Source organism: Homo sapiens, chromosome 7, assembly GCF_000001405.40.
Source record: "Homo sapiens chromosome 7, GRCh38.p14 Primary Assembly".
Lineage (NCBI taxonomy): Eukaryota > Metazoa > Chordata > Mammalia > Primates > Hominidae > Homo > Homo sapiens.
Genome location: NC_000007.14, coordinates 32,582,388 through 32,604,974, shown reverse-complemented (window position 1 = coordinate 32,604,974; position 22,587 = coordinate 32,582,388). Strand labels below are relative to the sequence as shown.

The window sequence follows — 22,587 nt, the reverse complement described above, 5'->3', positions numbered from 1 at the left end:
TTGAAAAGGTGCTCAAATTTCTTAGAAATTAGGAAATACAAAATAAGTCCACAACACTTTTATACTCACTTGTGTTGTGGAAGTCAGGAACCCCAAACTGAGGGACTGGCTGAAGCCATGGCAGAAGAACATAAATTGTGAAGATTTCATGGACATTTATTAGTTCCCCAAATTAATACTTTTATAATTTCTTATGCCTGTCTTTACTGCAGTCTCTGAACATAAATTGTGAAGATTTAATGGACATTTATCACTTCCCCAGTCAATACTCTTGTGATTTCCTATGCCTGTCTTTAATCTCTTAATCCCGTCATCTTTGTAAGCTAGGATGTATGTCGCCTCAGGACCCTGTGATGATTGCGTTAACTGCACAAATTGTTTGTAGAGCATGTGTGTTTGAACAATATGAAATCTGGGCACCTTAAGAACAGGATAAAAGCGATTTTCAGGGAACAAGGGTTAGATAACCTTAAAGTCTGGCTGCCTGTGGGCCGTGCGGGACAGAGCCATATTTCTCTTATTACCAAAAATGGGTAAGAGAAATATCGCTGAATTCTTTCCTCAGTAAGGAATATTAATAATTAACAGCCCTGGGAAAAGAATGCATTCCCAGGGCCGGGCCTCTAAAATGGCCACCCTGGGAGTATCTGCCTTATGCAGATGTAGATAGGGATGAAATGCGCCCTAGTCTCCTGCAGCGCCCCCAGGCTTGCTAGGATTAGGAAATTCCAGCCTGGCAAATTCTAGTCAGACCGGTTCTCTGTTCTTGAACCTTGACAATGCGTGCACAGCAGGACATGGAAGTTCATTAGTGATTCTGGTTTCACCCTGACCTTTTGCCTTGTGATCTTTTGTTGCCCTTGAAGCATGTGATCTCTGTGACCCACACCCTATTCGTGCACTCCCTCCCCTTTGAAAATTGCTAATAAAAACTTGCTGGTTTTATGGCTCAGGGGGCATCACGGAACCTGCCGACATGTGATGTCTCCCCCAGACACCCAGCTTTAAATTTTCTCTCTTTTGTACTCTTCCCCTTTATTTCTCAGACTGGCGGGCACTTAGGGAAAATAGAAAATAACCCACGTGAAATATCGGGGGCTGAATTTCCCCCAATACTTGAACAGCAAAAATTTAAGTCTATCATGTGTTGGTGAGGTCAAAGAGCATGTCTTGCGAGTGGGAATGTCATTGGTACTACCACTTGGAAAACCATTTGGAATTACCTTGTAATGTAATGCCCAACCTTGTTTCTTCCTTTATTCACCTAGCCTTGTTTCTCCCTTAGCTAAGAGAACCAGACAAACTCCATTTTGGCTCTTTCACTGGCAGCCCCTTCCTCAAGGACTTAACTTGTGCAAGCTGACTCCCAGCACATCCAAGAATGCAATTAACTGATAAGATACTGTGGCAAGCTATATCCACAGTCCCCAAGAATTCATCTGATTGACAACGCCCAAAGCCCCTAGTCTATCACCTTGTAATAGTCTTAAAGCCCCTGCACCTGGAACTGTTTACGTTCCTATAACCATTTATCCTTTTAACTTTTTGACTACTTAACTTCTGGAAAATTGTTCTAAGTAGACCCCCCCCTCATCTTCCTAAACCAAGGTATAAAAGTTAATCAAGCCCCTTCCTCGGGGCCGAGAGAATTTTGAGCGTTAGCCGTCTCTCGGTCGCCGGCTAAGGCTAATAAAGGACTCTTAATTTGTCTCAAAGTGTGGCGTTCTCTCTAACTCGCTCAGGTACAACAGTATGATACATTGAAGATGGCCACATTTTCTGATGCTGTTCCCATTGAGAGGTTGAGTCCCTTCTCCTTAAATGTGGGCTGGTCTTAGGGACTTCTTGGCCAATAGAATGCAGCAGAAGTAGCCGGGTGCAGTGGCTCATGCTTGTAATCCCAGCACTTTGGGAGGCTGAGGCAGGTGGATCACGAGGTCAGGAGTTCGAGACCAGCCTGGCCAACATGGTGAAACCCCGTCTCTACTAAACATAAAAAAATTGTCCGGGTGTTGTGGCACATGCCTGTAGTCCCAGATACTTGGGAGGCTGAGGCAGGATAATCGCTTGAACCCGGGAGGCGGAGGCTGCGGTGAGCTGAGATCACACCACTGCACTCCAGACCGGGTGATGGAGCAAGACTCCGTCTCAGAAAAAAAAAAAAAAAAATGCAGCAGAAGTAACACTCTGGGACATCAAATGCTAGGTCAGAAGAAGCCTGCAGTTTCTGTCTGTTTAGGTCTCTTGGAACACTTGTTCTTGGAGCCTAGCCACCATGCTGTCAGGAAGCCCACACAGTCCCAGAGAGAGGCTCCCTTGCCAGCCAGTACCAACTTGTAGTCATGTGAGGATCCTGGAAGTTGGATCCTCCAATTGACAGTTCATCCTGGGAGCAGATGAAACATACCTGCTAATCTCTGCCCAAATACCAGACCCTTGAGCAAAATAAATGACTTTTATTGTTTTTTAAGCTATGTAATTTTTAAAAAATAACTTTATGTTATAACTTACATACCATAGAATTCAACCATATAAGTGTACACTTGGGTGATCTTTAGTACGTTTTAAAAGTTGTGCAACCATTACCACAGTTTTAAAACTTTTTTTTTTTTTTTTCATTTTAGAGATAGGGTCTCTCTGCCACTCAGCCTGGAGTGCAAGTGACATGATCATAGCTCACTGCAGCCTTGACCTCCTAGGCTCAAGTGATCCTCCTACCTCAGCCTCCTGAGCAGCTGGGTCTACAGGCACTTGCCACCATGCCCTGCTTTTTTTTGGGTAGAGACAAGGTCTCGCTTTGTTACCTAGACTGGTCTCAAACTCCGTGCTCATGTGATCTTCCCACCTTGGCCTCCCAAGTGCTGGGATTATAGGTGTGAGCCCACTACCACCCTATTATGATTCACTGTGAGACCCCAAGTTTTGGGAAGGGTTGTTTTATACAGTAATAGATAATAGAAACCTAACAAACTGAAGATACATACACTATGGCTTAGCAATTCCATTCCTAGGTGTGCACCCTAGAGAAACTCTCATACACACCTATCAGGAAATGTACACTAGACTGATCTTAGCAACCTGCTTGTACAGTAGTCCCTCCTTATCCAAGGTTTCATGGTTTTAATTCCCTGCAGTCAACTGCAGTCTGAAAATATTAAATGGAAAATTCCAGAAATTAACAACTCATAAGGGTGTTTTTTTTTTAAATATATGTTTCTTTTTTATTTATTTATTTTACTTTAAGTTCCGGGATACATGTGCAGAACATGTAGGTTTGCTAGATAGGTATACATGTACCATGGTGGTTTGCTACACTTATCAACCCGTCATCTAGGTTTTAAGTCCAACATGCATGCATTAACTGTTTGTCCTGATGTTCTCCCTCCCTTCGCCTCCCACCCTCCGACAGGCCCCAGTGTGTGTTGTTCCCCTCCCTGTGTCCATGTGTTTTCATTATTCAGCTCCTACTGAGTGAGAACATGCAGTGTTTGGTTTTCTGTTTCTGTGTTAATTTGCTGAGGATGAGGGCTTCCAGCTTCATCTATGTCCCTGCAAAGGACATGTTCTCATTCCTTTTTATGGCTGTGTAGTATTCCATGGTGTATATGTACCACATTTTCTTTATCCAGTTTATCATTGAGCATTTTTGTTGGTTCCATGTCTTTGCTACTGTAAACAATGCTGCACTAAACATACGTGTACGTGTGTCTTTATAGTAGAGTGATTTATATTCCTTTGGCTATGTATCCAGTAATGAGATTGCTGGGTCAAATGGTATTTCTGATTCTAGATCCTTGAGAAATTGCCACCCCGTCTTCCACAATGTTTGAACTAATTTACATTTCCCCCAACAGTATAAAAGTGTTCCTATTTTTCCACAGCCTCACCAGCATCTGTTGTTTCTTGGCTTTTTAATAATCGCCATTCTGATTGGTGTGTGATGGTATCTTATGGTTTTGATTTGCATTTCTCTAATGATCAGTGATGTTGAGCTTTTTTTCATATGTTTGTTGGCCACATAGATGTCTTCTTTTTTTTTTTTTTTGAGACGGAGTCTCGCTCTGTCGCCCAGGCTGGAGTGCAGTGGCGGGATCTCGGCTCACTGCAAGCTCCGCCTCCCGGGTTCACGCCATTCTCCTGCCTCAGCCTCCCAAGTAGCTGGGACTACAGGCGCCCGCCACTACGCCCGGCTAATTTTTTGTATTTTTTTAGTAGAGACGGGGTTTCACCGTTTTAGCTGGGATGGTCTCGATCTCCTGACCTCGTGATCCGCCCGCCTCGGCCTCCCAAAGTGCTGGGATTACAGGTGTGAGCCACCGCGCCCGGCCTAGATGTCTTCTTTAGAGGAGTGGCTGTTCATATTCTTTGCCCTTTTTGATGGGGTTGTTTTTTTCTTGTACATTTGTTTAAGTTCCTTGTAGATTCTGGATATTAGACCTTTGTCGGATGGGTAGATTGCAAAAATTTTCTCCCATACTGTAGGTTGCCTGTTCACTCTGATGATAGTTTCTTTTGTTGTGCAGAAGTTCTTTAGTTTAATTAGATCCCATTTGTCAATTTGGGCTTTTGTTGAAATTGCTTTTGGCATTTTCATCATGAAATCTTTGTTCATACCTATGTCCTGAATGGTATTGCCTAGGTTTTCTTCTAGGGTTTTTATGATTTTCAGTTTTACATTTAAGTCTTTAATCTATCTTGAGTTATTTTTTGTATAAGGTATAAGGAAGGGGTCTAGTTTCAGTTTCCTGCACATGGCTAGCCAGTTTTCCCAGCACCACTTATTAAATAGGGAATCCTTTCCCCATTGCTTGTTTTTGTCAGGCTTGTCAAAGAGCAGATGGCTGTAGATGTGTGGTGTTATTTCTGAGGTCTCTGTTCTGTTCCTTTGGTCTATATATCTGTTTTGGTACCATGCTTTTTTGGTTACTGTAGTCTGGTAGTATAGTTTGAAGTCAGGTAGCGTGATGCCTCCAGCTTTGTTCTTTTTGCTTACAATTGTCTTGGATATATGGGCTCTTTTTTGGTTCCGTATGAAATTTAAAGTAGTTTTTTATAATTCTTTGAAGAATGTCTATGGTAGTTTAATGGGAATAGCATTGAATCTATAAGTTACTTTGGTCAGTATGGCCATTTTCACAATATTGATTCTTCCTATCCATGAAGATGGAATTTTTTTTATTTGTTTGCGTCTTCTCTTATTTCCTTGAGCAGTGGTTTGTAGTTCTCCTTGAAGAGGTCCTTCACATCCCTTGTTAGCTGCATTCCTAGGTATTTTATTCTCTTTGTAGCAATTTGTGAATGGGAGTTCATTATGATTTGGCTCTCTACTTGCCTATTGTTGGTGTAAAGGAAAGTATGTGATTTCTGCACATTGATTTTGTATCCTGAGACTTTGCTGAAGTTGCTTATCAGTTTAAGGAGTTTTTGGGCTGAGATGATGGGGTTTTCTAAATATAGAATCATTTTGTCTGCAAACAAAGACAATTTGACTTCCTCTCTTCCCATTTGAACACCCCTTATTTCTTTCTCTTGCCTGATTGCCCTGGCCAAAACTTCCAATACTATGTTGCATAGGAGTGGTGAGAGAGGGCATCCTTGTCTTGTGCTGGTTTTCAAAGAGAATGCTTCCAGCTTTTGCCCATTCAGTATGATATTGGCTATGGGTTTGTCATAAATAGCTCTTATTTTTTTGAGATCTGTTCCATCAATACCTAGTTTATTGAGAGCTTTTACATGAAGGGATGTTAAATTTTATCAAAGACCTTTTCTGCACTATTGAGATGATCATGTGGTTTTGGTCATTGGTTCTGTTTATGTGATGGATTAGGTTTATTAATTTGTATATGCTGAACCAGCCTTGCATCACAGAGATGAAGTGGACTTGATCATAGTGGATAAGCTTTTTGATGTGCTGCTGGATTCAGTTTGCCAGTATTTTATTGAGGATTTTCACATCAATGTTCATCAGGAATATTGGCCTGAAGTTTTTGTTCTTGTTGTATCTCTGCCAGGTTTTGGTATCAGGATGATGCTGGCCTCATAAAATGAGTTAGGAACGAGTCCCTCCTCTTCAATTGTTTGGAATGCTTCAGAAGGAATGTACCAGCTCTTTTTTGTACCTCTGGTAGAATTCACCTGTGAATCCATCTGGTCCTGGGTTTAAAAAACTTAAACCAATAACACTTTAAGAACTTGTTATTGGTCAATTCAGGGATTCAACTTCTTCCTGGTTTAGTCTTGGGAGGGTGTACGTGTCCAGGAATTTATCCATTTCTTCTAGATTTTCTAGTTTGTTTGTGTAAAGGTGTTTATAGTATTCTCTGATGGTAGTTTGTATCTCTGTGGGGTCAGTGGTGATATCCCCTTTATCATTTTTTACTGTGTCTATTTGATTCTTCTCTCCCTTCTTCTTTGTTACTCTAGCTAGTGGTCTATCTATTTTGTTAGTTTTAAAAAAAAATCAGCTCCTGGATTCATTGATTTTTTTTTTGAAGGGTTTTTCATGTCTCCATCTCCTTCAGTTCTGCTCTGATCTTAGTTACTTCTTGTCTTCTGCCAGCTTTTGGATTTGTTTTCTCTTGCTTCTCTAGTTCTTTTAATTGTGATGTTAGGGTGTCAATTTGAGAGCTTTCTAGCTTTCTGATGTGGGTATTTAGTGCTATAAATTTCCCTCTTAATACTGCTTTAGCTGTGTCCCAGAGATTCTGGTACATTGTCTCTTTGTTTTCATTGGTTTCAAAGAACTTCTTGATTTCTGCCTTAATTTCATTATTTACCCAGGAGTCATTCAGGAGCAGGCTGTTCAGTTTCCATGTAGTTGTGTGGTTTTGAATGAATTTATTAATCCCTGAGTTCTAATTTAATTGCACTGTGGTCTGAGAGACTTTTATGATTTCAGTTCTTTTGCATTTGCTGAGGACAACTTGTAAGTTTTAAATTGCTTGGCGTTCTGAGTAGTGTGATGAAATCTCAGGTTGTCCTTCTCTGTCCCACTCAGGACATTCCATCTCTTTGTCCAGTGCATCCTTGAGATCTACACTGTTGACCTGGTTGGTAGTCATCAATTTGGTTTCCTCCTGACACACAACCATCAACATCATTATGGCTCAATGATCCAGGATCACCTGAAGCAGATGGTCCTTCTTTTGACATATCATCAGAAGGTCAATAGTAGCCTGACGCTAGTCACAATGCCTGTGTCATTCACCTAATCATGTAGGCATTTTATCATCTCACATCATCACAGGAAGGGTGAATGCAGTACAAATAAGATATTTTGAGGGAGAGATCATATTGGCATCACTTTTATTATAGCATATTGTTATAATTGTTCTTTTTTTTTTTTGAGACAGTCTCACTCTGTAGCTCAGGCTGGAGTGCAGTGGCGCGATCTCGGCTCGCTGCAAGCTCTGCCTCCTGGGTTCACGCCATTCTCCTGCTTCAGCCTCCCGAGTAGCTGGGACTACAGGCGCCCATCACCATACCCGGCTAATTTTTTTGTGTGTTTTTAGTAGAGACAGGGTTTCACTGTGTTAGCCAGGATGGTCTTGATCTCCTGACCTCATGGATCCGCTGGCCTCGGCCTCCCAAAGTGCTGGGATTACAGGTGTGAGCCACTGTGTCCAGCCTCTATTTTTATTGTTAGTTATTGTTAATCTCTTACTGTGCTTAATTTATAAACTTTGTCATAGGTACGTATTGGAAAAAAACATAGTAATATATAGAGTTCAGTACTATCTGTGGTTTCATGTGTGTAGTAGGGGTCTTAGAACGTAACCTTCAAAGGTATGGTGGGACTACTGTATTTTTTGTTTCTTTTTCTTTCTTTCTTTCTTTTTTTTTTTTTTTTTAAATTCCAGGCACATGATGCTCGAGGGGGGCCTACTATAATAGCAAACATCGATTGGGGAGGGGAAGACCAAAAAAATTGTTCATGAACTCATGAACAATTGAGTGTGGAAATGAACTGCAGTATTTTCACACAATAGAATACTTCCTGGCAGTGAAAATGATCTACAGATAGACAAAGCGACATGACGCTCAGAAACTTAATATGCAAGAAAAAGCAAGTCACAGGGTAATATGTATGTATGATTCAACTTGTATAAAGTTCAAAAATCTGACACACTAAACAATCTGTTGTTGAGAAGGGAAATATATCATAATTTTTTTTTCCTTTGAGACAGAGTCTCTGTTGCCCAGGCTGGAGTGCAGTGGCACAATCACAGCTCACTGCAGCCTTGATTCCCCTGGCTCAGGTGATCTCCTGCCACAGCCTTATGAGTAGCTGGTACCACAGGCATGTGCCACCATGCCTGGCTAATTTTTTTTTGTATTTTTCATAGAGATAGGGTTGTGCCATGTTGCACAGGTTGGTCTCAAACTCCTGGGCTCAAGTGATCCAGCTGCCTCGGCCTCCCAAAGTGCTGGGATTACAGTCGTGAGCCACAATGCCTGGACAAATTTTTAAGCAAAATGAGGGATGAGAGACACACTCTTAGAGCTGGGTGGTGGATTGTTCATTTTATTATTTTTTATATCATACACATTGATAAAAATTCTTTTGGGTCTCTTCAGTTATTAATATAAAGAATCAAAAATAGGCCATTGTGGTATCTCACACTCATAACCCCAGCACTTTAGGAGGCTGAGGTGGGAGGATCGCTTGAGTCCAGGAGTTGAAGACCATCTGAGGCAACATACCAAGGTCATTTCTCTACAAAAAAATTTAAAAGGGCTGGGTGCGGTGGCTCACACCTGTAATCCCAGCACTTTGGGAGGCCGAGGTGGGCGGATCACGAGGTCAGGAGATCAAGACCATCCTGGCTAACACAGTGAAATCCCATCTCTACTAAAAATACAAAAAAATCAGCTGGGCATGGTGGCACACGCCTATAGTCCCAGCTACTCAAGAGGCTGAAGCAGGAGAACCACTTGAACCTGGAAGGTGGAGGTTGCAGTGAGCCAAGATTGCACCACTGCACTCCAGCCTGGGCAACAGAGCGAGACTCTTGTCTCAAAAAAAAAATAAAATAAAATAAAAAACATTAGCTAGGTCTGGTGGCATGAGCCTGTAGTGCCAGCTACTTAGGAAGGTGAAGTGGGAGGATCGCTTGAGCCCAGGAGTTTAAGACTGCAGTAAGCTATGATTGCACCACTGAACTCCAGCCTGGGCCACAGAGTGAGACACTGTCTGTAAGAAAAAAAAAATTAAATAAAGAATTAAAAATAATAGTAATAGCAGGCCGGGTGAGTGGCTCACTCCTGTAATCCTGGCACTTTGGGAGGCTGAGGTGGGTGGATCACCTGACATCAGGAGTTCGAGACCAGCCTGGCCAACATGGTGAAACCCCTGTCTCTACTAAAAATACAAGAATTAGCTATGTTTGGTGTTGTGCACCTATAGTCTCAGCTACTCAGGAGGCTGATCCAGGAGAATTGCTTGAACCTGGGAAGCGGAGGTTGCAGTGAGCTGAGACTGCACCACCTGCACTCCAGCCTGGGTGACAGAGCGAGACTCTCTCTCAAAAAAAAAAAAATAGTAATAGCGCATATGTATTCAGAGTCAACCATATATTAGACATAATGCCAGTTTGAGTATGTATAAGTTCACACTTCCTTTTCATATCCAATTATGTCATTCCTTTCTGATGACCTCTCTTCTAACCACAGGAACTCACGCCATTCTTTTCATTTTCCTTTGTTCTGCTTCTTCTCCCAGTAAGAAAACATCTCCCTTCTTCTCCATTTACAAATCAGAATTGTCTATCGGTCTATTCATCCAGTGTCCACTAAGTGCTTACTCTGCACCAGGCACTGTTCTAGGCTCTGAAGATAAATAAAACAGGAAAAAAGCCCTGTTCACTTGCCATAGAGGATGATGAACAATAGACGAATGTGAAGATACACAAGTGCAGCCTCAACACATGCATCATCATCTCATTTAAACCCACTGTACTGAAGGAGAATGTGTGGTTCAGAGATGTCAAGTAACAAGCAAGTGTGGGTGCTGGTGTTCCCACCCAGGCCTGTTGACCTATTTATGGCATCCCGACTTTATTATAAAGCCCTGAACAAATGCAAAGAGTGATGCTAATTGTTGCCAAAATTGAGTGAAATGAAATGCAGGCAATTTTATGCGGAATTTTTACTTGTCAGAAACACCAGCCTCTTGGATTTGTAGTTTTCTTCAAAGATGTGTCTGAAAAGTGGAAGCTATATTCCTTCCACTGATCATACTTCCCTGAGAAGTAAATTACATTTTGAAATGATTGGGTATTTTTTTTTAATGATTAGGAACATTAAAATACATCTTACATGTACAGCTTGACTTTATGTGTATACTTATGTAACCACCTAAATAAGATGAAATAGTTGATTTTAATTAACATCTGCTTAGCCTTGAAATCTGTCGCAGCTTCCAAGTGGATAAAACATCTTTTGGTCCCCAAGAAAAACTGATGTTTATTTTCAAAACATTTTGGTTTGTGATATTGATATAAAGGTAGTTGCACTTTCCCAACCCTTCCAGCTTCCTTGGTGGAAGGTACTTCCCATGCTTGCCCCTGGAAAGGCAGCCACATCATCACACACATGTCCTCAGCACAGACCGCTCCTCACAGGCTCTTCTCTTTTTTCCTGTGTTTGCCAAGAGGGGTTTTCCCCCTCCTCACACTCTTTCCCTTAGTCCCTGTAGCCTCATCAAGAGAAACAGACTCCCAGGGGCAGAGCAGGAGGAGCTGGTTTCTGTATTTCTCAGATTCCTTCTGGCTTTAGCAACCCTGCAGGCTGTATTCTTCTTCAGTTCTCCTCTCTCATCACTCTTTTCCCCTTCCTAGAGCTTCACTCCCCCTGACCTGCTCCTCCCCTGCATCTCAGGCCATGCCACCCCTGGCCCCATCCCCAAGGCCGGAGGACAGAAAATCTGCTCTCATCTTCACTGCCTCATCCTCACTTCAGCAGCTCAAATGACACTTCCTCAAGGAAGCTTTCTCTCACTGTCCCAGCGAAAAGATTGCCATGATGGCACTTTACTGGACTTCTCAACACACTCATCTTTCTTTTTTTTTTTTTTGAGATAGGGTCTTGCTTTGTCACCCAGGCTTCAGTGCAGTGGCACCATCATAGCTCACTGCAGCCTTGATCTCCTGGGCTCAAGCAATCTTCCCACCTCAGAGTAGCTGGGACTACAGGCGCTTGCCACCATGTCCAGCTAATTTATTTTTAGTAGAGAAGGGGTCTCGCTATATCACCCAAGCTGGTCTCAAACTCCTGGGCTCAAGCAGTCCTCGTGCCTCAGCATCCCTAAGTGTTGGGATTATAGGTGTGAGCCACTGCACCCAGCCCCATCACTTTCTTTATATCATGTATCTGTACAGATCTAATCTGTTATCTTCTGGACCCAGACAGCCCTCACCCATAGCAAGTGGTTTTGTGTTAAGACAAGACTGAGTGAAGCTTAACTTACTCTGCTGGGGCTGCGGCGAATGGAAGTTACGGTTTCAGCTGCCAGGTTGTCACTTAACACGTTTCCATCTGTTGCACAGTTCTCTAGTACCTTTATACCACACAGTCATGTGCCACATAGCGAACCTTTGGTCAGTGACAGACAGCATATACGATGGTGGTCCCTTAAGATTATAATACTTGTCTTTTTTTTTTTTTTGAGATGGAGTTTCACTCTTGTTGCCCAGGCTGGAGTGCAATGGTGTGATCTTGGCTCACCGCAACCTTCCTCTCCCAGGTTCAAGCGATTCTCCTGCCTCAGCCTCCCGAGTAGCTAGGATTACAGGTATGCCCCACCACCCAGCTAATTTTGTACAATGCTGTCTTTTTACTGTACCTTTTCTATGTTTAGAAACACAAATCCTTACCATTGTGTGAACACTGCCTGCGGGATTCAGAACAGTACCATGCTGTATAGGTTTGTAGCCTAGGAGCAATAGGCCATACCATATGACCTAACTATGTAGTAGGCTCTGCCATCTAGGATATTGTAAGTACACTCGATGATGTTCACACAACAGTGAAATTATCCAGTGACGCATTTTGCAGAATGTTGTTAGTGACGTGTGACTGTATTTTGGTATCTACTCTGGCTGTCTGGTGAGCTGCCTTTTTTGAGCTGAGACATAGCTCCCATAAACAACACTGTCCATATGGGAAATCCATTTTGAGTTCCCTATGAATTACATTAGAAGCTTTGGAAACACAATAGCCTGTCCTTCAAGGGAGGGTGGTCACAGGGTTAACTTGACAATTTAAAAGGAAACAAGCGGGGCATGGTAGCTCATGCCTGTAATCCCAGCACTTTGGGAGGCTGAGGCAGGAGGATTGCTTGAGCCCAGGAGTTCAAGACCAGCCTGAGCAACATAGTGACACTGTGTCTCTATTTAAAGATCAAAAATTAAAAAAAAAAAAAAGCAAAAAAGGAAACAAAAGACACGTTTTCCAACCGGAGGAGTGGTGACTAGTTAATCCTTCATTTCCAATAAGGTCCCAAAAGAAAATTTTAAGGATTAAGCCCAGATGCTCAAAGGAATGGAATTAACCACACTCAAAAATGATTTCCACTTTGAGTCCCAAAGTGAGGGATATGTCACTAATGAAAAAACACACTTTAAAGGTCATAAAATATATAAGATTTAAAAATTCTAGTCCTGCTGACCTTGTGGTTTTGATGACCATAAAATGGGTGACACAAAAAATACTCATTCATCTTCATCTGTTAAAACTTTACCTTGGAATTTCCATTTGGAAAGTATTTAGCGAGAGTGAGTGGTTTATCAAGGCCACAGTAGCTTTGGTTTCTAGATGGATGATCCTGTACAAAGAACCAATTCAGGATGTGAGAGCCAAGGACGGGGTAATTTTGCTTCAGTCTCCGTGGTTTCTAGGAAGTGCTGCTCAGTGATGGTTTTCTAGGGCAGAGCTTGAGGAGGCAGGTGGACAGGCTACTTTAGAAATTCTCCATTGCCCCACTTTTAACCTTGGCATTCCTGAGAGCATGAATGTGGTTAAATTTTATCAGAAAAAATAATTCTATGAATTGAATATAATTGAAAGTCTAGATGTTAGCGGCAGATGGGCTTTTTGAATGTATAAATGACTCCCTTTGTGCTTGTAAATGACATGAAGAAACAGCGGGTTTTCTCCAAGTTTAAACACATCACCACAGCGGTGGTGCCACATGTCTCCTGGGTCTCCACTTAGCCAGAGAGAGTAATGGAAACAGATGCTCAAGTGCCCTCTGTGCTCTTGGCTTCCTGGCAGGGACACCATCACTTGACAGGTTCTTTTCATCAACAACTTCCACGGACCTAATGCCTGGGGAAATCGGGAAAACAGTGTTCTCACAGTAACTGGTTTTTGACTGAGGGCCATGCCATAGACTTTTGTTCTTGGCTTTATTATGTTTGGGGCAAATGTGATTTAAAGTCAGTGGAAAACTGTGAAGGCCAGTGAGGAAGGGAAAGGGGCGGTGGTTGAGTTCAGAGGTCAGCTGAGGAACATCACTAACTTTACAGCAAAGGGCAAAGCAGAAGCAGTGGTGCCCACGACCGAAAGAACTTTCCACAGGCAACACCCAGCCAACCTGCCACCTGCCTGTGGGAAACCCTTGAAGGCTTTCCCCTGTCCGCGGGCTGACAGGGCTCTCCTCCAGATATGGCCTTATTTCCTGACCTCATCTCTAGCCTGTCGTCCTTGCCATTTCGGTTTCGGCCACTCCAAAAAACATCCCCTCAAGCCGCGCTGCTTCCAGTCTTTGTGCTGCTCTGCCAGGCCACAGAGCCCTTTACGTCTCATGGTCTCTCCCCTCACTCCCACCTCACCTGGAAAACTCCCTCAGGCCTCAACTTAGACTCAGGGGAAGAGATATTTATTGGTCCCTGTGAAAAAGCAGTTACCCCCTGTGGTGTGTTGGCGCCACTCGTGCTCCCTCACCACCCAGCACTCTCTCCCCTCTACAGTGACCGCCCACCCGCACCTGCTGAACAGCAAGGTCCACGGAGTAGGAACTGAACGTGTCAGGGACTATGTGTGGCACTGTATGGCAAGTCTCCAAGACTGGGAAGCACCGCTTTACATAGTCCTCAGTAAGTACTGAATCCAGGTATTTTATTATTTTATTTTTTTGAGACAGAGTCTCATTCTGTTGCCCAAGCTGAAGGGCAGTGGCACAGTCATGGCTCATGGCAGCCTTGACCTCCTGGTTTCAGTGATCCTCTCACCCGAGCCCACCCCCTCATCTCCCGTAGCTGGGACTAGAGGAAGATGCAACCATGCCCAGTTAATTTTTTTTTTTTTTTTTGAGATGGAGTTTTGCTCTTGTCGCCCAGGCTGGAGTGCAATGGCTCAATCTTGGCTCACTGCAATCTCTGCCTCCCGGGTTCAAGCGATTCTCCTGCCTCAGCCTCCCAAGTAGTTGGGATTACAGGCATGCACCACCACGCCCAGCTAATTTTGTATTTTTAGTGGAGACGGGGTTCCTCCATGTTTGTCAGGCTGGTCTCGAACTCCTGACCCCAGGTGATCTACCCACCTTGGCTTCCCAAAGTGCTGGGATTACAGGTGTGAGCCACCGCACCTGGCCTTCAGCTAATTTTTAAATTTTTTGTAGATACGAGGTATCCCTATGTGGCCCAGGCTGGTCTCGAACTCCTGGGCCCAAGCAGTCTTCCTGCCTCAGCCTCCCAAAATATTCAGGATTACAGGTGTGAGCCACTGGCCCCTGAGAATCCAGGTATTAGAAAGGACTCAGAGTAGCCTGGGGAAGACTTTCAGGAGGAAGAGAGGTTGGGCTGGGTCTTTGATTACTGTGTACTACGGGTTCTCTCAATAGTGCTCCTCCAACAACTAGAGGGATGGGAAGGCAACAGCAGCAGCCAAGGTTTCAGTTGGTGAGAGGGCTTGTGGAGGCCAGGGCATCCATGGAGAAGCTACGAAGTTAAGCCAGTTCCTAAGTCAGGCCCTCAGGGTCCGCCGCACAGGAACTAGTGCCTTTTCATGGGTAACGACGTTGTTTAATGGCTAGCAAGTAGTTTCTAACTCTTCGTTATGGAAATTCTCCAACATACACAAACAGAATAGTCTAAGAAGCCCTTATGTACCCATCACTTGCCCTCAGCAATGATCAGCATTTCAGTAAGTGGCTTTCATAATTTTTCTGGGCCTAGCCTACATCTATGTGCTCCAGGAGTGCAGCCCAGTCCAGTGAAATGTTTAAAAACATTTGAGTCTTAATTATGTTATGTTGGGATGTCAGTGGTTCCAAAAGCAGGTGGTTCATGGGATCAAGAACACAGAACACGACCATTCTGATCTTCATGATCATACAAAGTGTCTATGCGTGCCATGTGAGGATCTGTTGATGGTGAAGTTGGACAGGTCAGTCCTGCTGCAGTGGCTTCCCCAACCCTGTGTACATTACCTCAGGCAGAGAGAAGCCCTTCATGAAGGATGGAAAGAACTTTCCTTGGAAAGAACAGGCTCCCTAATCACACTCCTTCCAGATGTTACCAGATTCAATAACTGCAACTCCTGTCCTATCAGAATGAAGGGTAGGCAGCTCTTCCTTGGTGGGTGATAGGGACCCATCACATCCCCACAGGAGAGCTCAGTCTGAGGGGGACATCTGGAAAGGGAAGGAGATGCCTTCCTTTCCCTGAGTAGAGGAAGCTCCACTGTCCTCAAGTTATCCCATCAGCTCCAGGGCTCTCACGGTCCACATCAAAGAACACTGGTAACTCCAGCTTAACCCTGCACCAGCACTCAAGGAAGCACACATTCCCAGGGGGCAAGGAAGTTTGTCACTTCTTCTGTGAAGCACATCCTAAAGCCTGTTTTGTAGAACAGTTGTAAGGGAACCCAGTACATGAACATATACATGAAAATGTGGCAGGAGTCTTCAGTGGCAATATCAAGGGCTATTTTGACACTTATCAGTCCAGGTGCAAAATGGGTTGCTTGGGACAATATCCTAATGAGACATTATCTTGTGACCAGGCTCTGCTTGATACTTTTTGCAGCTCTCTGCACTTAGCATTCCACAGAAGCTAAGGGCCTCTTCCTGCAGAGGTCACTGCCTTGAAAGCTGGGCACCACTGTCAAAGCGATGTCAAAATGAGAGTAAATGAGTCATGAGTCTTTAGTTCATTCTGTGTGGTTTCTTAATAAATGAAGCTGCCGTTTAACTGTGAAGGAGGCCAGAAACCACATGGACAACACACAGGGTACTTCTAGGACAGGTCAAGTCCAACTGTAGGCAGGGTGAACAGGATCATTTTATTCTCATTTATGCTTAAAATAAAGATACAATTCAAGTTTTACAATTCAGTATGATTAGACGTGATTTATAATTTTAACAATTTAAAAAAACAACAGAAATAAAGAACTAGTACAAACTTTAAAACTACCAGAGCAAAGAGAACTACCTTTCTGATCAAAACATGTGCCACAGTTAAACTTCCTTAGAAAACTTTTTAAGTTTTCTCAGCTAAATTTTCTTTAAAAAGGTTTGTGAAAAGCCTTTAATCATAAATATTTAAACTGTTTTTGTAACCACTAAATGCCTTCACCAACTCATTAATCCAATGTTTTCTAAATTCAGGAACCAGTGACCAAGTGGCCTGAAACATGTAAGCCTTGATCTTATTCTTCCAGCTACAAAATACTAATATTTTAAGAAAACAACAAAATATTTTCTAAGCACAGAAGCTTTCTGAAAACTTCAATTACCTTTTCTGGCTCAGTACCTAACTGAAATGTTCAAATGTTCACATTTGCACACACGAAAAAATTTGAGCAGCATACTACGTGGGTGTGAGAACCTGATGAAAAATAAGATTGGAAAAACCCCCTACACTGTGTTCCACTTACATGATTTAAATATATAGTTATCTTTCATATAAGTAAAAAGGTAAACTTTAGAACAGCACAGAAATACAAATGTATTTAGAGTTTTACAAAATATATTCAACCCCTCAGACATGCACAATTTTTTAACTTTGGAGTTACCATACAAGGGAACTAGTTTCCCCTCCTTCATAATGAAAGCAGGAAGTCATGTGTACAAAGTCATTCATATGAAAAGAATAAACATCCACATTCCTTTTCTTTGTCCTTGACAAATATTTATGGAATGCCGGAAATTATGGAAAAACAATTCCAATGTTACGAAGTCCAAAGAACTGGAATGAGAAAACTCCTCACGGCACATTATGCTGCATGGAATGACAATCATCCTCGGGGAATTAGGGCAGCATCTTCTACCACTTTTAAAGGCTACCACGAGACGGGGTGGAAATGCCAAAAATGGCACCTCATCTCTGATCAAAGATTCAGAGCATGCAAGTGTTGATGCCATGAAGAGTCCCAGCCTTCTCCCCACTAAAATACCAGGCAACGCTTAGCAGCTGCTGTCCTAACAGGCTACTTTCTGCAACTGCTGACGCAGGTTAGTTCATGTGGTTAAAGGTCAGAACGCTGGCCCCTTACAGAGCTGAAGTGCTCCCACACTCATCACTGGCTCTGGAGGGAAAAGACCACTAGCTGTAACTTCTACAAAACTTTTTTTCACAAAATGTAAAACAATAACAAAACCTACCTGCCAGGGTGATAATGCCGTAGCGTGACTTTAAAACTTGTAACTAGCAGAGTAAAATTCTAATCCCTTTCTAAAAGAATTCTTATAACCCTTAGCACATGAAATACTGCTCTCAAAATACTTCCATTCAGATTTTAAGCATCTTGTTCCTCAGCCATGCAACAATTTCTCACTTCTCTCTCTTCCTAATTTGTTTTCTCGTTGGCTTTCCAAAGGAAATTATTCTAAAAAACATCAGATGCTTAGTATAGAATTTGGAAAGGAAGATAAGGTTGAGCAAGTTACATCATATGCTCTGGTTTGCTGCCAAAGTATATTGCTGCTGTGTTTCTTAACAGGAAAGTGGACGAGAATTGTTTTAGGGCTGTGCTTGGCGGGGGGTAGTGAATCACTAATGGATTTGGGGAGAGACTGTTCATGCTGGTTATGTGAGCCAACTGCATATGCACAATCATTCTAAGCCTTCTTTGGACATGCAACTATTTCTATTCCACAACTGGTAGTTTTAACTCTCTCTTCCTTACCTACACCATTGTCATTACAATGTCTAGTAGGAATTGAAGTATACCAGGGACATTTTCCAAACACTCTTTTAAGTCACCTGGATAGTGGTGAAGCCACCAGCAAGCCATTGATGTAGTGTGTGTGCCTGGCGCCATCTGAAAAAGGCTGGCTGACCCTGGTTCCCTCACACCTAGGTACAAATACTCAATTCTTAGACACAAAAGCCTTAGCAAGTGTGGCCACCAACACACACACACCTTCACCAGGGCTATGTCAGAAGATGACCTAGTGCTGGTTCCTATGGCTCACAGAGCCAGGGTTTGGAGAGAGGCTGCTGCTTCTATGCTGGCCACTTGGAGCCTAGAATCCAAGCCTGAAGTATGTGTGTGTGTGGGGGGGGGGGGTCACAGGACCAGGGGTGAGGCTTCCTGCCTTTGATTGTGCGAGCTGCCTTGGGGCCCCTGCCAACAATACAACAGCCAGTGTTCCTTGAAAAACTCCACCTCCCAGAACCTGAAGGAAATATAGCTATGGTCTTTTGACCATTTCTATGATGAAAGTTGTATCTTCTGAGATACTTGTTTTATGTTGGAAAGTCAGTAAAGTGACCACTAAGAGTCAAACTCTTAGCTAGAAATGTTAATAGAAAGTCCGATCAAAGTGTATATTCAATGAGGAACAAGTGATATTAAAGCAAAGTTAAACTTCATGTAACTATTTTTATTTCAGTGGATTCCAAAGCATGAGTTGGGCTGCTTTTGAATAGTGGGAGACGGGAGTTTACCCCGATCACAGAAACCATACCAACTGAAAGACAAATCAGCATCTTGCTGGACGACCCCTCACAGAGCTCCTAGATCCTTGAAGTGTGAACTTCAGCAGCTGAGAGGTAACAATTGTACACAAATCACACTATCATGCTCCAACGAATGATGTGGCCCTTATGAAACAAGATGTTAGAATGAATTCTTTATAGTCTCAGCGCAAAAAAGATTCAAGTACTGTTTAAGGTTTTTGTTTGGTACTACTTTCTTCTCTTCAAACAGCATTTCCTGAGGTTAACTTTCTTGGAAGAAGTGGAATTAATGGAGTTCTCACATTCAGCCCTTCAATTTATCATCGCTGAATTCTTGAGTTATGCTCAAATGAGTAATACAATTTGTGTTTAGAAAACACAAAGTGGAAAATTTAGAGACATTTAGATTATGTTTCTATGTTCATTTCAAATGCCTTGGGAGCATTTACTTCTTAAACATTTAGTGAGGAATAAACCAAATATAATCAGGGCCCTCCTTTATTTCCCCAGCAATCTGGGATAGATCATACTCACAATGTATTTCCCAAGTATCCCTTGTTACTAAAAGGCAGTCTGTTCCCCGTAAGTACTCTCTGAGAACAGCCATCCCAGGTATCCTTGAAAAGCAAATGAGAGCTGAGCATGGCAAACACACGAGGTCCAGCTGTGTACAAATCATCAGTAGATGGCACACACATGCATGTATGTGCCTAACATGAAACCAGATATCCTTTCTCAGATGACAGATGTCAAGGCTGCAGTTTTCTTCTCTTGCCTCTTACTTTGCTGAATATAAACTAAGATGAGATTTCTATTTAATACTTACAATCACCTTGCTTTTCTTTTAAGATACTTCTAGAAGGGGGTAGGGATTGATTATAGGAGGACTTTCAGTTAGGGAAGTAGAAGACTAAGTGCTTTGAAAAGCTTTATGAATAAGACTACGAGAAAAGCTGTAGGTCTGCAAACACCCAATAGAAAACTGTTTAAAAAAGAAACAGGCCAGGCGCAGTGGCTCATGCCTGTAGTCCCAGCACTTTGAGAGGCTGAGGCGGGCAGATCACTTGAGGCCAGGAGATCAAGACCAGCCTGGCCAACATGGCAAAACCCCGTCTCTACTAAAAATACAATAATTAGCTGGGCATGGTGGCGCATGTCCATAATCCCAGCTACTTGGGAGGCTGAGGTACAAGAATTGCTTGAACCCGGGAGATGGAGGTTGCAGTGAGCCGAGATGGCACCACTGCACTCCAGCCTGGGCGATAGAGTGAGACCCCGCCCCCCCCCCCCCCCCAAAAAAAAAAAGAGAAACAGATGGCACAAACTCTGGAATAAAAAAAAAGTGCTTGTAAGACTGCAACATGACTGCGGTTGAAAAATAAACACATAGGTCTTCTTTGAAAGTATTGCCCTACAGACACATTCATGTTAAACTGCTTCAGTATCATCGAACCATCACTCTGCTATTTCTCTGCACACCCACCTGCACAGTTATAAAGAGGAGGAAAGCACAGTGATACTCCTTGATGTCTGAAACCAAGTTTTTAAGGATGTGGAAAGAACAAACTAAAAACGTAAAACAAAACACCCAATCCTCAGAACTACCACCTCTAACTTTCATGTTTCTGGGAGGAAGTGAATTAATAAATGTTTTGTGGGTAGAAAGCAAAAAAATCATCACATAATTCAGCAAAATAATGAAGGCCCAACTGTATGACCCCTTCACTTTATAAGCACGTTTTAAGGCCAACTTTAGAGAAAATGGTAATATAAATTAATTTTAGCAAGTATAAATTACAGTGACCATCTAGATATTCAAACACCAAAACAGAACAAAATTTACATAAGTAAAAACTCTTCTAAAGTAAACCAATGTACAATATCAGAACTCAAAATTCATTAGAAGGTTCACTGTATGTTTTAATCAGGCTCAGACTGAAATAAAAGTAGTCAATTGAAACCCCAACCTGGAAAGCCATCCCTGCTATGGCTGTGATTTCATCATTTCGGCATCCCGAAACATTCACTTAGAGCAACATCCATGTAAACAGTTCGACATATGGTCCCCTGCTGTGGATCTGTGGCTAGTAACAGCCTGGGAGCAGCAGACAGACAGGGGACACTTAAACCTCAGAAAGCAATAGCAGCCTCTGACGCCTTGCTCAAGGCTTCTCATCTGGTGGCTCAGTGAGACTTTGGGAGGTGGAAGTGGTGAAAGTGGAAAGCCATGAAGACATAGCTGTCTTTGCACTGGAAAAAGCTCCTCCAACTGACTGGCCTGGATGGAGAGGAGAAAAACAAAAGGAAAAATGTCTTAACTTTTGTTACGAGACAGTGAAAGACCAACATAATTAATACATTTTTAATTAAAAATTTAAAAAAATGTTTTTTGAGACAGCGTCTTACTCTGTCGCCCAGGCTGGAGTGCAGTGCAGTGGTCACGGCTCCCTGCAGCCTTGACATCCTAGGCTCAAGTGATCCTCCCACCTCAGCTTCCCAAGTAGCTAGGACCACAGGCCTGTGTGACCACACCTGGGTAATTTTTTGATTTTTTGTAGAGACAGGGTCTGGTCTTAAACACTTGGCTCAACTGATCCTCCTGCCTCAGCCTCCCAAAGTGTTGGGATCACAGGTGTGAGCCACTGTGCCCAGCCAATAAATGTTAATTCACTAGAACACATCAATATGTTAATAGTAGCCAAAATATCATTTAAATTTTTAGTTTCAAAACAATCCCTTTCCATGGGAATGTCTTAAGGAAAAATAGATGATTTTTTAGCGTAGGCACCTACTTGCCTCAGCATTCTGAAAGTATTCATCAAACTGTTTCTTTAATACCCTCAGTGCTAGCAACACTGGCTATGTATCAGAATTATTAGAGAGCTTAAAAAGTCAAACTGCTTTGTGTATCTTCAATACCAACTTGATAATCAATAACCATCTAAACAGGGAAGAGTGGTTAGACTGTTGTAGGGAAATGTGCTTTTGTCATCTAAAATGAAGTTATGTTACACAAAGATGTATAGAGCTCTATCTGCCCCAGGTCTATTGTGTTTTATAGAACAGTATCTCAAAAGTTGATGTTAGGCCAGGCATGGTGGCTCACACCTGTAATCCCAGCACTTTGGGAAGCCGAGACGGGTGGTTAGCTTGAGTCCAAGAATTCGAGACAGCCTGGGAAACATGGCGAAACCCTCTTTCTACAAAAAATAGAAAAATTAGCCAGGCATGATGGCACATGCCTGTAGTCCCAGCTACTTGGTAGGCTGAGGAAGGAGGATCCTGCCAGGGGTTGCAGGGATTGCAGTGAGCCAAGATCGCACCATATTGCACTTCAGCTTGGGCAACAGAGTGAGACCCTGTCTCAGGAAAAAAAGGTGATGCTAAGTGAAATTATTTAAGTTGACTAATACACTCCCACTATTCTTGGACAGAAGAGTATAGAAGAGATTTGGCTTTAGAATTTAACTATCAGTAGCAGCATCACTAAAAAATAATAACGTATAATGATGTATCTATAATAATCTATAATATAGCATAGTTTTTCTATTAAAAAATAAAAATTCAAAATAAGCCAAAGGCATATTGTTTGGAAATAAATGTTTGTGTGCTAAATTCCATTCCTTTGCAATAAAACTAATCTAGTGGTAGCGCTGTGTGTTGTCTTTACAAATGAGTCTGT

General features: G+C 42.5%; 1 protein-coding gene and 1 pseudogene across 11 annotated transcripts in view, besides 2 other annotated features; one reads left to right on the top strand and one right to left on the bottom strand.

Annotated features, from left to right (window-relative positions):
* The window catches only part of DPY19L1P1 (DPY19L1 pseudogene 1), a 138,230-nt pseudogene that overhangs the window by 114,194 nt on the left and 1,449 nt on the right, over nt 1-22,587 (top strand). The window contains exons 13-15 of the transcript NR_036680.1: nt 11,669-11,791; nt 13,971-14,096; nt 18,839-18,998. The product of NR_036680.1 is annotated as a DPY19L1 pseudogene 1 (transcript). The remainder of the gene's footprint in view (nt 1-11,668; nt 11,792-13,970; nt 14,097-18,838; nt 18,999-22,587) is intronic.
* Nucleotides 481-1,006: an enhancer, noted in NCBI's record as "OCT4-NANOG hESC enhancer chr7:32643581-32644106 (GRCh37/hg19 assembly coordinates)". NCBI's record gives its function as "activates a minimal SCP1, AML or CMV promoter by ChIP-STARR-seq in naive H9 embryonic stem cells {active_cell/tissue: H9 hESC(naive)}" and the evidence as "EXISTENCE:reporter gene assay evidence [ECO:0000049][PMID:30033119]".
* Nucleotides 13,218-13,718: an enhancer, noted in NCBI's record as "H3K4me1 hESC enhancer chr7:32630869-32631369 (GRCh37/hg19 assembly coordinates)". NCBI's record gives its function as "activates a minimal SCP1, AML or CMV promoter by ChIP-STARR-seq in primed H9 embryonic stem cells {active_cell/tissue: H9 hESC(primed)}" and the evidence as "EXISTENCE:reporter gene assay evidence [ECO:0000049][PMID:30033119]".
* Nucleotides 16,249-22,587, bottom strand: part of AVL9 (AVL9 cell migration associated) — a 93,238-nt gene continuing 86,899 nt past the window's right edge. For all 10 annotated transcript variants that reach the window (XM_005249668.3, XM_005249669.3, XM_011515227.3 and 7 more), the window contains one exon: nt 16,249-21,183. In XM_005249668.3, coding sequence (XP_005249725.1) covers nt 21,068-21,183 — 116 coding nt within the window. In that variant the 3' untranslated portion in view covers nt 16,249-21,067. The remainder of the gene's footprint in view (nt 21,184-22,587) is intronic.